Here is a 15,232-nt window from a genome sequence, read left to right on the forward strand (position 1 = left end):
ATTTATTTATTTATTTATTTATTTATTTATTTGAGACAGAGTCTTGCTCTGTCACCAGGCTGGAGTGCAGTGGCTCAGTCTCAGCTCACTGCAACCTCTGCCTCCCGGCTTCAAGTGATTCTCCTGCCTCAGCCTCCCGAGTAGCTGGGATTACAGGCACGCACCACCACACCCAGCTAATTTTTGTATTTTTAGTAGAGACTGGGCTTCACCATGTTGGCCAGGCTGGTCTCGATCTCCTGACCTCGTGATCCACCCACCTCGGCCTCCCAAAGTGCTGGGATTACAGGTGTGAGCCACTGTGCATGGCCGTCATTATGTTTTAAGAAAGTTTACAAAGCTGTCCTAGGCCACAGATTGGACAAGAATTTAAGCTCATTGAGGACTCTTAACATACCAATTTTTGTATTAGCATGCAACTTGGCCTAGAGAAAGAATCCAATAAATACATGTATTTTTTGAATACATAACTGATTGGCCAAGAATCAGTGTTTACTCTTCTCTTTTACCCTCTTATGTAGAATTCAATCAAGCCTCAAATACTATCTGTCTTCTTTCCAAGTGTTATAAATTTGAATTTTCAGGCTAGGCCATAATATCAATTAACTTTAAAAGTAGCATAAGGCACTATATTTTCCAATAATCTACCTATAAATCACTGAAAATCAGAACTCCATGTGTGTATTTAGATACTTAGGATTAGCTCCCATTGTGTTTGTATTTCTCATTTTTTTTGTTGTTGTTGAACAGTTTTCCATTCTGCCACATAGTCTACGATAATTTATATTTGTTATAAGATATTTCACTGAGTAAATGTGTCATGTTTTATTTACGTATTTTCCTATTACTGGGCAAAAAAAAAGTTAAATATAGTTATTTTACATAGGATTTTTTTTTTCTTCAGAATAAATTCCCAGAAATGATACACCTGAATCCAAAGCCTGGGAACACTTAATAAAACTTACAATAAATATTGCCAAATTGGCTTTCAAGATTAATTTTCTAAATTATGTTGCCATCAGAAATATTCTAACATGTTTGCTTTTTAGTAAATTTGCCAAAATAGGACATTATTGACATTTAATAAAAAATAAAATAGTAAGTTTAAAACGGTACCTAATGTTTAATTGTTCATTAACATTTGAGTATTCTTCATGTAGAAAAATACATAAATAAAGTTGTGCATTTCATTCCAGAAACTTTAATCCCTTTTCAGGATGACCCAGAATCAAGAGGAAAATCATTTTATTTCCTTTAGAACATAAATTTTTGGACAGATATAGGTATTACCTCATTTTACATGGCCAAACTACTCTTGCTATGGAAAGGATTTTGAGTAAGATTTCTTCAAAAATACTGCCAATCCCACTATTATTAGAACTTAGGTTGAAATAAAATATTTGATATTTAACATGTGAATCCATGTAGCAGCAGTCAGAAATTCTGGCAAATGGCTAATTATCTTAGTTTTACAGCCTTGTGTAATTCTTTAAATTTTTTTTGTGTAAAATACACACTGAATTGATTTCAACATGTAAGTTGTGATTGTTTACAAAAATAAATGTTAGGTTTCAGAGATACCAGATTCTTTTTAGAAAAAGCACAGACACATGTGTAATGTTTTTTTAATGTAACATATTGCCATTGTTAACTGATTGATTAGTATCAGTGACTCCTAAGGTAGAACTTTCATAACTAACAATTCATTTAGGGTTATCTGTGTATCACTAGGGATCTAGGTTACTGAATTTAGTGTTTGTAGTGAAGTAATATTGAAGCAAGAAAGGAAAGCTCTGAAATAGAATACACACGAATTAATTTATAATCCTGGCAATGCCATGAATCAGCCATAAGGCATTAGAATTTTTCTTGCCTAAAATTCTTTTCACATATATATTTTTAAGTTCTAGGGTACATGTGCACAAAACGTGCAGGTTTGTTACATATGTATACATGTGCCACGTTGGTGTGCTGCACCCATTAACTCGTCATTTAGCATTAGGTATATCTCCTAATGCTATCCCTCCCCGCCCCCCCACCCCACAACAGGCTCCAGTATGTGATGTTCCCCTTCCTGTGTCCAAGTGTTTTCATTGTTCAATTCCCACCTATGAGTGAGAACATGTGGTGTTTGGTTTTTTTGTCCTTGCGATAGTTTGCTGAGAATGATGGTTTCCAGCTTCATCCATGTCCCCACAAAGGACATGAACTCATCATTCTTTATGGCTGCATAGCATTCTCTTGCCTAAAATTCTAACCATAGCTTTCTTCCCTTTTATAATTCACAAAGCTGTAGGGGGTTACAGTGCGGTACTGCTTATGAAAAATTCTTTGTAACCTCTATTGGCTAAAGCATTGTTATCGAAAGTTTTTAAAATCATGAATTACTAGCAAAAAGTCAGGTAGTATTCTTTCTGTTTTTAGAAGCACGTTGGTTTTGTGGCTACATCATCCTTATTTTAAAAAATGAGCTTCTCTGAAGTTAGTGTCAATACATAGCTTGATATCTTATAACCTGAGCTGTACTATAGCAAAATTGGGGGGAAAATTGTCTTGTAATAAACACCTTAAATTTTATATTCATTTATTCAATTCACACAATTAGTTAAAAAAAAATTTTAGAGTACCTATGTAGGTACTGGGGAACTACCAATGGTCATGACAAGAAAAATTCCCTGTTGTTATGAAATTCACATTCCAAAGACCTGAAGAATTAAAAAAATAAGAGAACAGTGCTAAAAATGGGTCTAGTAGATTCTATAGGAATATGGAAGAATTGTATATTACTGGAAAAATTAATAAGATTAGTCAATCTGAAGTATTTCACAATCCATTTTATTTGGTAGCTGTGTGATGACCTCTATTCGGGGCCTAGTCATGTATGATTGTCCTGCCTCTCTCAGGTGGACAGAGATTCTAATGTGATCGGTTGGGGACTGGGGACTTTATTTCTGTCAATACACCCTCTCCCAAAATGGAGAAAAATTCCCTCAAAAGCATATGATGAACTGATAAGAAAATGAGAAATACCTAGACTTGGGATTAATTAAGGGAAGGTTGGAGCTTACCATGGTATGTTGAACACTGAAGCTGGCATTGGCCTTGAGAGCATTTGCTGAACTTGATGAACTCCAATCTTGTTTCCCATGAGTTTTAGGGACACAAGGGACAGAAGAGAAAATTCTGGTCCTGATCACCGTAGGGTGACTACTAGGAAATCTCACTGTAAAAAGTATTATCCTAAAAAGATATACTGCAATTCTCAGTATTCTGGTGAACAAAAAATACCCATCCTCTTCCCCAGTCTCATCCAAGTGATGAACTCCTTGAATCTTGATGTTGAGCAGCAGAAGTACCTGAACAGTTAAAGCAAGAAGAAGGACCTCATAGATTTGTAGTGTAAATTTAGAATAGCTAAAATACCAAGAATGTATCTGAAGAGACTCAGCAATTATGCTAAAGTGATGCCAAGCTGGTAATGCTTCCAGCCACCTGGTAGGAAAAAATGTAAATGGTGTCTAAGGGAACATCTGTTTACCCTCTGTCTAACGGAAATTGTGCAATTTGCAGTCAGAACTCAAGAAGTGCATAAGGACCAGGCCCAATGTATTCATTCATTTATTCAATAAATAGTTCTTGAGGATTCACTATGCATTAGGCAGTCAGCAGTAAACTGATTTAATTTTCAATTAAGAATAATAGAAAATTCTTACTCTTAGGAAGCTTACATTCTAGTGGGTAAAGAAAGAATAAAAAAACTAAAATATAAAATATGTTAGATGTTAGTGATAAGTTTATCACAAACTTAAAATGACACAGGTTTATTTTCTTACAGTTTTGTGAGTTAGAAGTCCAATATTGGTCTCACTGGTCTCCAGATCTTGTAGGGGAGAATCTATTTCCTTGCCTTTTCCAGATTTTAGAGGCTGCCCATATTCCTTTGTTCATGGCTCCTTCTGCCATCTTCAAAACCAGCAAAAGCAGGTTGAATTCTTCTCACATCAAATCACTCTAATGGACAATTCTGCCTTTTAAAGGCCTTTGTTTATTGTACCAACCTGGATAATCCAAGATAGTCTCCCCATCTGAAGGTTCTTAATTTATGTTTGCAAATCATTTTTGCCATGTAAGGTAACATATTCACAGATTCCAGGTATTAGGATGTGTACATCTTTGGAGGGCCATTATTCTGCCTTCACAGTCATCTACCACTAGGGGAAATGTTAATTAGAACAAGTATGAAAAAACAATTTGGCATTGCCTAGAGGGATAAACATATGCATATCTAAGACCTACCTGTTTTACTTTCAGGTGTATACCCTCAGGAACTTTTATATTTTCTGAAAAAGATGCAGAATGTTTATAGTGGCATTGTTTTAAATGGCTCCCAAGAAGAAATAACTCAAATACCTGTCAACAGTAGAATGGATGAAATATATTGTGAGATATTATAAAGTGGAATATTATATATCAGTGAACATTAATGATTTAACAAGTATTGGAATTAACATTAATGAATCCCTGAAATAGAATACTGAGGTAAAGAAGCAAGTCACAGAGGGGCATGTATAACATTTTTACATTTATATAAAATCCCAAAACATACAATATTAAATATTTTCTTCATGAATACATAATTATTAATAAAATGTAAATAAAAGAATTGTCAACCTGAGTGGTGGTCTACATACCCATGTGTTTTCTTGATGTTTGTGTTTGCCTGATATTTAATTTTTACTTTATGTATTTTTCTCTTTTTCAGGATGTAAGGTATTTTTAATGATAAAACATTTTAAACATTTACTGAGATGATTATTAGTTTTATTTTACATAGGCTCTATAGCTTTGGGGCAGTTACTTTTATTCTCTGAGTGTCAAGGTTAATAATTTGCAAAATAAGGATAATTATAATTATTAGTGTGAAAATCAAATTAAATAATGCATGAAGTGTTAGACAAGTAACATATAATATTAAATAATTTATTTCCTTAGATTGATATAGTAACCAGAAAAAAATAGTTATGTATCACCAAGTCAATCAACTGAGGTTATTAAACAGTTAAGATATATAAAAAAGATAAGCTGTCATAGTGGCAGAACAAGTGGTACTTGATTGTGAACAAATAAAAGGAAGGCTAGATTACAAATAGTGATTGTTATTATACAACAGTTTCTATAGTATCCAAAAACAATTGGAGACAGTCTTCTGTGAGTACAAGAAGCATTTCTTCTAAGACGAATCACAAGTATTCTTTTTTAACTTACTTTATCAAATATCTTGTCCCCTTATTATCAACTGCATTATTTCAAATAATACAAATATGTCTTCATTAATTTATTTAACAAGTATTTACTGGGTGAACTATTGTTTCAGATACTCCAGATACAGGAGTGAACAAACCATACTAAATCCCTGTCCAATGGAGTTTAGAGTCATTTTTGTGGAGAGAGACAGGACATTAAAATGTCCATTACTGATTCATCCATCAATCCTTCCATCTATACAATTATTTTGGATAGTTACATGTGACGATGACAGAAGAAAATGACACTGCATAATAAGACAAAGAGTAAAAATAAGTAGCTTAAGCGTTGGAAACTGTGAAAGGCACATAAGGAATATTTCTCTGTGGGGATGACTTGAAAATGATGAATCGACTGCAGTGAGGCAAAATGGAATGAGGAAACCAGCCAGAAGATGTGCTGTCTTTCGTCCTGTGTGCACCTTTCTCCACTGCACGTGTGCTTTGGAATACTGACTGGCAAAGACTGTATGAATCAGGAGGCCCCCTTGCCCTGTGACTTCCTGTTGAGTCTAGCCAATGAGGATACTGATAGGAAATCAGAGTGAAGCAGCAGAGTGAGGTAAGGGATTTGTTTTTCTCTGATGTGTCTCCCCAGGCTGGTTTTGTCCTACTATGGACGGCTGGCAGTCATCATGCAGCTTTCTTTTTCCTCTTACCTTTTAAACCTGGTGTGATAAAACCCTCTCAATGTCACTATATCTCCCTTCCTAGAGGGCAGCACCATTCCTTGCTGCTTTTCCTAAGCCCTTCCCATACTTTGCAAGTAGTCTCTTCAATTACCCAGCTTGAGGATGCCATTTCTTTCCTCTTCAGGTTCTGATTGATGCAGAGGCTGTTGAAGTAGACCACACGATTAAAGCAAGAGAGGGAGATAGAAGTGGAGATGGCGGCAACCTATTATACCTGGATATATTTGGTATACAAACAAAGAGACTCAATGATGAATTGAACAATGAATCTGAAGGAAAAAGGAGAAAGAAAACACAAGTGTGCAGGTGTCAATTGTATACCATCATAGTACCATCAAAAGAAGTAGGAAATAGTGGAGATGAAGCAGGTTGATATGATTTGGCTGCTTCCCCACCCAAATCTTACCTTGACTTGTAGTTCCCATAATCCCCACATGTGGGGGGAGGAAGCCTTTAGGAGGTGATTTAATCATGGGGTGGTTACCCGCATGCTGTTCTCATGATAATGAGTGAGTTCTCACAAGATTTAACGTCTTTATAAGGAACTTTTTCCCCTTTTACTTGGCACTTCTTCTTGCTGTTGCCATGTGAAGAAGGACATGTTTGCTACTCCTTCCACCATGATTGTAAGTTTCCCGAGACCTCCCCAGCCATGCTGAACTGTGAGTCAATAAAGCCTCTTTCCTTTATAAATTACAGAGTCTCAGTTATGTCTTTATTTGCAAGATGAGAATGGACTAATACACTGGTGATAAATTTGATGGAACTAAAATTTTATTTTGAGCATGTTACATTTTCTCCTTTCTGCTCTTGTCCTCCATAGGCAAAGATTTAAAGGCGACAGAAAATGGTGGGAGGAGGCCAGGCTGAAGAAAATGGACACTGAGCCATGTTGTTAAGGTCAATATTCAGTTTTGAGCCAGGTATGGAGCTCAGGAAAGAAGTCTGTGCTATATATATAAATTTGGGGGTTATCAGCATGTAAATGATATTTCAAGCCTTAAGACTGGATACAATCACCTATGATGCGAGCTACTCCCTAAAATACATCTCCCCCAAAACTGTATCTGTTTCCTTGGTCCACTGACATTTTTAAATACATATTTTGTTTCATATATGTCAGGGACATCAGAACTACAGATCTCTATTTATGGTGACTAAGTACCAAATGATTTATATTTTTATTAACTCTGCTATCTCTCCTGAAATTATTACAAACAGCCTTTCTTCCCACACTCTTGCTTACCTGAACTCTTCAGTTTTATAGGAGCTACTATATTCCTTCACCCCCTTTCTTACATATTCTTCACCTTCTCTCCCTCTCTATTTCTGTTCAAAGACTATTCTCTCAGTTGTCAAATGTCCTTAGTGCTCTACACAATACACAATGTTTCTGGTACTGCCATTTCTCACTGCATTCAAATTTTGTACTCCTTTACCCCACTATTTTTATGCCTTATTTTATGCAAGAAGCTTTTGTTTCTGAACTAACAAACTGCACCAAAATGAGAAATTTGGCTGTATAATTCCCTCAATTAACTCTCTGCATGGAGGAATTCAGTATTTATTTTCCTTCAAAAAACCCCATGATGATGAAGAATAATAATTATTTTTTAATTGAAGTACTACTCGCAACATCACTCACCAAAATTTATATCGGTATAACATATATAGATATATTTATATATTTTTTCTATGGTATCTTCCATTTTTTGATAGGTAATAATCTCCATTCTATTTTATCTGTGAGACAGAGGAGGATCATCAATATCTGGGTTTTCAGGTAGTGGAATAGTATATTTAAGTCTTTTGTGCCATTGATATATAGGGGTTATAATTAGGGTTCCCTGGTAATTGTGGATTCATTAGGGTTATAAGCTGTTTTTTCTAGTTTTAAACCTGCAAGTTCTGTGCCCCCAAAAGCTCCTTCGTCCCTGGAAAATCAGGACACACATCCTGCACTTAGACTTTTCTGAATCATTTGAAGGTACGTAGATTTATTGCAGAGAAGTAGAACTTGCTTTTACTTGCAATGACTTCAAAGTGACAATTAGGCAATAAGCTAATATGTCTCCCATTTATGAGGATGTAGCTCTTAGTAAATAAACTCTTATCATGTGCAATGAAATTAATGGTATTTTTTTCTCACATTTTCATTCTGATATATCAAGACAGGTGTAATATATTTCTGTTTCTGGCCCAGGATTTGTGATTTATTTATCTAAATATTTTATAGTATGTGAGAATTATAACAAAACAAAAATAAAACAAAACTAAATATTATCTACCTTATATCCTTGGAGTTTCAATATGATAAACATGGTGGGAGATTTAAAAGCAATAACAACATCTCATTCCTCTTGCCTACTACATGAATGGCAAATTTGCTCATTCTCTCTTCAGGGTTCTCAACCACCAGCTTCTGTGTGCATATCTTTGGCACCCTGTACATATTATCTTTTACTTTGTCTTTGTTCTATTTATTTCTTCTCTGAATCTATCAAAATAGTTTCCATGTTTTATACTGCATCATTCTCCCATAAGGAATATGTGCCTTAAAAAAAATCTATATTTTTAATCTTGTTTTGGACAGTGTTTCCCTCTGTCATACAGGCTGGAGTGCAGTCGTGTGATCACAACTCACTGCAACCTCAACCTCCTGGGCCCAAGCGATCCTCCTACCTCAGCCTCTCGAGGAGGACCACAGGCACATGTCACCACACCTAGATAATTTTTTAGTACTTTTTGCAGATACAGGGTCTCCCTAAGTTGCCCAGGCTAGTCTTGAACTCCTGAGCTCAAGCAATCCCCTCACCTTGTCCTGCCAAATTGCTAGGATTACAGGCGTAAGCCACGGTGCCTAACATCTGTTATGCTATTTTTCCTTTCCTTACACTGCCTACTCAAGATTTGCTTAAACAATTATACTTATTTTAAGACAGTGAGTGGAAAAGCAATGTTTGAGATAGTTTGCTTTTTAATTTTACCCAATGCAAGTCAAAACAATGTAAATTTTCTTAAAATATGTAATATGCCTATTTTTCTCATTACCTAACCTTGGCAGAAGAGGTATGTCTTAACCATTCACTGTTTACCATCCCCCTCCTCCTAACTCGAAGTGGAGAAAACATTTCACTTGCTTTAAAAAAAAAAAAAAAAAAAGTTAAACAAGGGTTTGTCTATGAAAGCTATAAAATAATGACTCAATAGGATTTTCAGTGAACCCCCAGGTTGTTTTGCCTCTATTACTTAAACAACAGAATTCCAGGTCAGAAGAACTGAAATCTACCCATGCCATCTCAGAAAACTTAAAATGACATGGTTAGACAAAATTTTAGATTCCTATCCTCTCTGAGATAAAAATTTAAGTGATCCATTGGAACATTTTCTTGATAAATAACTTGACCCAAGAATGCCAGATACTCAAAGACAAAAATGTAATTATGAGGGCCAAGTTGTCTTTGAGGATATTGGATTTTTAAAAAAATGCAAAAGAGATCTCTGTTTCTTCTTTAGCACAGCACGGTGGTCCAAGACTATTGGAGTCTATATGTGTTATTTTCTCATTTTTTAAAAATTCTTTCTTCTCATCACGAATCAATACACAGCTTGACAAGTAAACACATAATGTATAAAGTCAACTTACAGATTGGTATAACTGAAGAGAAAGCATGAGTTTATTGGCAAGGGAACACATTTCGCCTACATGGCAGCTCTGGTGGTGGAAAGCTGTTTACAGTGTTTGATATATGACTCATCACATCTGCTACATGGTGAGGGAATGAAGATACAGTCAAACAGGACTAAAAAGAAAGTGCAGAAATCCAAATTCTCATGCATCTTTTTCCCACTTGCATTTTGTTTCTTTCACACAGTTCTGACCAAATTGGGAATTGATTTATTCTGATAAAAGTCATTTGCGTATATAAAGATGTCACAATTATTTTACCAAAAATGCTATTGAGTCATATTTGTTAACATATTTCATTATGATAGTCATATAAACAATTGAATTAACCAGTTACACTGCAACATCAAAATATTATTTCACATAATTATGCAAATTGTAAGACTCTGTGTTGTAAAGTAGTGTGTCGTGCTGTGTAGCTTAGGAGGGTGTCTCTTTGAAAGTGGAGACAAGATAAATGTTGGCTTAATATGATAAATTCTTTCTAAAACAAGAGATGTTCTAATGCAGAATATTGCCTTATGAAGTTAGAAATTTCCTATGAAGTGGCTGAGCAAATGCTGGTGGACCTTCAGACAGGAATATCATTGAGGGATTTCCATGTTGCTTCCAGCATCAACATAGGATGTCCTCAAAAGTCCCTTCCAAATCTAACATGCTAACGTTTTTATAAGGATTCTATAACAGATATTTTACTATAGTTCCACATTTAAAGTTCCACATATTATAGTTCCATATATATATAAACACACACACATATATATATAACCTTGCTGTCCTTGTAACTTTAGAATTTAAAAATGACTTTGGCTGTTTCTGAGGAAGTACACGTGAGGATGTTAACCTCTTTAAATGTAGTGAATATTATGCTTTTTCTTGAACATTGTCTTTTGCATTTTACTATATTCTAATATTTTTTAAATAAAAACTGTCTGAAACTTTTAAATAATTCATGTTCTTTTTCATTACAAAACCAAAAAGTCAATTTAAAAAGTTAGTAAAATTTTTATGAAAGCTGGAGACTATTATAATGACTTTGACTTTTTAAGGATTGAAGGAAACCACACTGCTTCCTTATATACCTCTTTTCAATAAAAACCAATTTAAAAATTTACATTTTTCAAGGAGGGATGATTCCCGTAAACAAAACTTAAGCATGCATCACCCTGCGCCAGGGTGGATGCCTGTCACTCAAATCACTGTCATGCCGCAAGCTACCCTGATACAATCAGAAAGGAAAATAGAGTTAGTTAGATGAGTTTACAGAATGATGTCTGCATGAGTGGCAGATGTTTCTGCTATAACCACATTATGTGCACTCAATTTTTATTATAGAACAATTGCTTCTAATAACTTTTATGTTCATGATCAATGTGTCATAAATTCACCTGAATTACAAAAATGACCTAAGAAACCTAAAGAATTGTTCTTCAGTTGTTTTCTCTCAATATATTCAATAACAATAAAAAAGTAACTGATTTGAGCATGTATTGAAGTGCAGATTCCAACAATCTGTGATATCTCAAATACATGGCCCAAGTCTTCCTGGTTCATAGAAGAGCTGACATTATGCCCAGGATGATTATCAATCATCAGCGGCACAATATTGTCTGCCGTAAGTGGGCAGTGTGATTAATAACTGCAATTCAGGCATGATCTGAAAAGCTGTGATCTTTATTGACTAAGGGAACTGGTGACTCTCTCTTTTCATGTTATTTGTACTCAATTTATGCTGCTTTCAGTGATTGATACAGTTTATTACTATTTCAGTTGTGATATTCCACATTATATGAACTCAATAGCAAATGTCAGGTGAAGCAAGAAACATGTTCATTTACTCTCTAGAAATACTTTTATCTTACTATTGTGGTCTTCTATTGCATTCATCAACAAGCTGATGGAAATAGTTAATCTACGTTTGACAGTCATTTCATTTACATATATAACAGATTTTTTTTTTTTTTTTTTTTTTTTTTTTTTTTTTTTTGAGACGGAGTCTCGTTTTGTCGCCCAGGCTGGAGTGCTGTGGCGCGATCTCCGCTCACTGCAAGCTCCGCCTTCCGGGTTCACACCATTCTCCTGCCTCAGCCTCCCGAGTAGCTGGGACTACAGGCGCCCGCCACTGCGCCCGGCTAATTTTTTGTATTTTTAGTAGAGACGGGGTTTCACCGTGGTCTCGATCTCCTGACCTCGTGATCCACCCGCCTCGGCCTCCCAAAGTGCTGGGATTACAGGCGTGAGCCACCGCGCTCGGCCCAGATTTTTAACCTTTATATTTACAAGCATGTCTTCTACCTCCGCTGCTGGCTCTAAGTTTTTCCTTCTTCTCTCCCAATTCCTCAACATTACTACTCACTGTGATCACATTTTCAGCTGAATGAAAATGGAAAAATGGAGAAAATAATATTTTAGAAGAGTGTACATTTGTTGACTGTCCGAGAAATCAACTGCTACCTCATTGTTGCCCTGAGTATATATCTGTATAATCTTCAAATGCTAAATGTATATTTATACATAAACATACCTACATACTGCAAGGTTCCTACTAAAAGCAAGTCTGATTTAGAGTAAAAGTCTTCCTGTATTTAGTCTGAAATGCCAGCTTTAACCAGCCAAAAGGAACATAGTGTAATGAGTAAGAACACAGGCAGGTAGGGCCAGATGGTTTGGGTTTAAATTTGGGTAAATGACTTATTAGCTATATAATATTAAAAACTGAATTAAGTACACAGTGTTTTAATTTCATAGTGTGTAAAAAGAGTTCTTGGGAAACTAAATGTATTAATTCTATTCTAAATGTTCCTAGAACAGTTTCTGACTCATAAGAAATATTCAGTAGCTGTTAGTTACTATGACTGGTTATTGTAGTGAAGGTGTCACAGATAGGCAGTTGATTAAATGGGGTTGGAATTCATTATCACTCAGATGACATTTAAACATGGGACTAAGTGAGTTCACCTAGGGAAGAGATGCGGGCTGAGGACTCAGCCATGGGTCATACCAGCATTTAGGGATACTTAGCAAGTGAGACTAAGAAGGAACTGTTCGTGAGACTGGAGAAAACAAGAGTGGTATTCCAAAAGTCTGGTCAAGAAAGTATTTCAAAAAGAAGAAATGATCAAGTATTTCCAACGCTAAATGGAGGTGACAACAGGATTAAGAATCATCCATTAGTTTTGGCAAGAGGGGGGCCTTGATAATAGCAGTTTTATGAGGTAATGGAATGAAAAGCAGTGAGAAAGGGAGAAAATGATGACAGTGAATGGAGACCACAAATTTCAGGAGTTTTGCCCTAAAAGGGAACAGAGAAATGTGGCAATAAATAAAGGGGAATGAAGTATAATTATTTATTTTTAAGCTGAAATATAAAGTGTTTACTTGCTAATAGAAATTATTCAATAGATACTGAGGCTGATGATGAAAGAGACAAAGGAATTGGTTTCAGGAGCAAACTTCTTCAAAAAGTAAAAAGGGCTGGGATTATAATGCTTTAATTTACTATCTAATGCAATTATTTTGTGTTTATTATTTCCTCAGGCCTTCAAATAAGGATCTATGACAGTAGAGTTTTTTTTGTAGTTGTTGTCTTATTGAGAATAGAATTAGGTTATAGGCGTGTAATAGACACACAATATTTGCCAGGCAAAAAAATAAACAAATAAATGAGTGAAAAAATGAATAAATAAATGAAGTAGTTGTGTTTGTCTTAGATGGGAGCACAGACAATTTATTGAAACAGGAGAGAAAGCAGGTATATAAGAATAGATTCATGTAAGTTAGTGGAATTGCTAATCAAAACACATAGATGTTCATATCAGATTACTTATATTTAAATCACTGAAATAAAATATACAAAACTAACTTCAAGGGGAAAATGAAAGATAAAAGCTAGGGAAATCTTGCAGATAGTAATACAAAAATACCCAAGAGATAGACAATAGGAGAATACTTAGAAGGTCAAACAACTGATTAATGAATTCCGGAAAGAAAATAAAGAAAAGAGATGAGAGAAAGTTAACAAATAAGTATTTCAATAAGTGAGTTAAAATGATGATGATTAAAGTGAATAATAATTATTGAATTTTCATAATTACAGGAATGAAGGTGAAAGCCTTAAAGCTACAGAGAGAAGAAAAATAAGATGTTTCTCATAAAGTTTTCATACAAAGTCAGGAGACTCTCAACACAAATATTGGCAGCTAGAAGACAGAGTAATAATTTCAAAATTCTGAGGGAAATTTAAATGTATCATATAATTCCTTTTTGAGAAAACATATCAATTTAATGTGAATATGTGATAAAGACATTATCAGATATGCAAGTTCTCCAAAAAGAATGACTGTCTTTGCACAGTTTAACAGGAATCTACCATGGTGAGAAAGTTAAACAAGAAAGGACAAGACATGAAACCAAAGAAACTGGGAATCCAACACAAAAATTTGAAAGGTAAAGTTGACTGAGCAGGAAAATTCCAGGACAAGAACTATGTGGTAGAGCAAAAGAGTAACCAATTTATATTGTATCAGGAAAATATGAGGTTTTAGGAATAAGCTCTGCAAATAAATTTAAGTGATAAATTATATAGGACATCTGAATATATTAAAAATTATATTTAGTCTACTGGAAGTAATGGTGATGCAAGGCAGGCAAGCTCCAAATTTTGGGCTTAGCCTGAAAGGTTCTTGGAGTCTCCCAGGAAAGAATTCAAGGGTGAGCTGGTGGTGTTAGCAACATTTTTTTTTTTTTTTTTGAGACAGAGATTCACTCTTGTTGCCCAGGCTGGAGTGCAATGGTGTGATCTTGGCTCACCAAAACCTCTGCCTCCCGGGTTCAAGTGATTCTCCTGCCTCAGCCTCCTGAGAAGCTGGGATTATAGGCATGCACCACCACACCCGGCTAATTTTGTATTTTTAGTAGAGTTGGGGTTTCTCCATGTTTGTCAGGCTGGTGTCAAACTCCTGAGCTCAGGTGATCCGCCCACCTCGGCCTCCTAAAGTGCTAGGATTACAAGCGTGAGCCACTGCGCCCGGCCCAGCAACTTTTATTGAAGTGACAGCAGGAGCAGAGCTACTGCCCCTTGCAGAGCAGGGCTACCCCACGGGCATTGTGCCCACAGCAGCTCAGAGCCAGTGCTGCAGTCATATTAATGCTCACTTTTAATTATGTGCAAATTAAGGGGCGGGTCATGAAGAAATTTCTAGGAAAACGGTGGAAACTTCCAGGTAGTTGGGTCATTGCCATGGAAAGAAGCCATAACTTCTGGTTGTTGCCATGGCAATTGTAAACTGACATCACACACTGGTGAGTATGTCCTGTGGAAAGCTGCTTTTGCTCTGTCTCTGCTTTAGCTAGTCCTCAATCTGGTCCAGTGTCTGAGCTCCACCCTTGGAGTCAAGTCTCATCTCCTGAGTTGAGTTCCACCTCCTAGCTCATTAGGAAGAACTGATTATTATAGAAATAAACAGGCAAACACATACAAATAGGGCAATTTTTAACATAGGAAAGACTACTAATGATACAGGAAAGAAAAAAATTCTATTAAGTCACTT

At 35.6% G+C, this 15,232-nt stretch overlaps 1 long non-coding RNA gene across 1 annotated transcript in view; it reads right to left on the reverse strand.

Annotated features, from left to right (window-relative positions):
* Positions 1–2,181: 2,181 nt before the first annotated feature.
* LOC107984998 (uncharacterized) overlaps positions 2,182–15,232 on the reverse strand; it is a 67,115-nt gene continuing 54,064 nt past the window's right edge. The window contains exons 2-5 of the long non-coding RNA XR_001738111.2: positions 4,297–4,340; positions 4,059–4,211; positions 3,834–3,963; positions 2,182–3,356 (exon numbers count right to left, since the gene is read on the reverse strand). This is a non-coding gene — a long non-coding RNA (uncharacterized LOC107984998). The remainder of the gene's footprint in view (positions 3,357–3,833; positions 3,964–4,058; positions 4,212–4,296; positions 4,341–15,232) is intronic.

Source organism: Homo sapiens, chromosome 1, assembly GCF_000001405.40.
Source record: "Homo sapiens chromosome 1, GRCh38.p14 Primary Assembly".
Classification (NCBI taxonomy): Eukaryota; Metazoa; Chordata; class Mammalia; order Primates; family Hominidae; genus Homo; species Homo sapiens.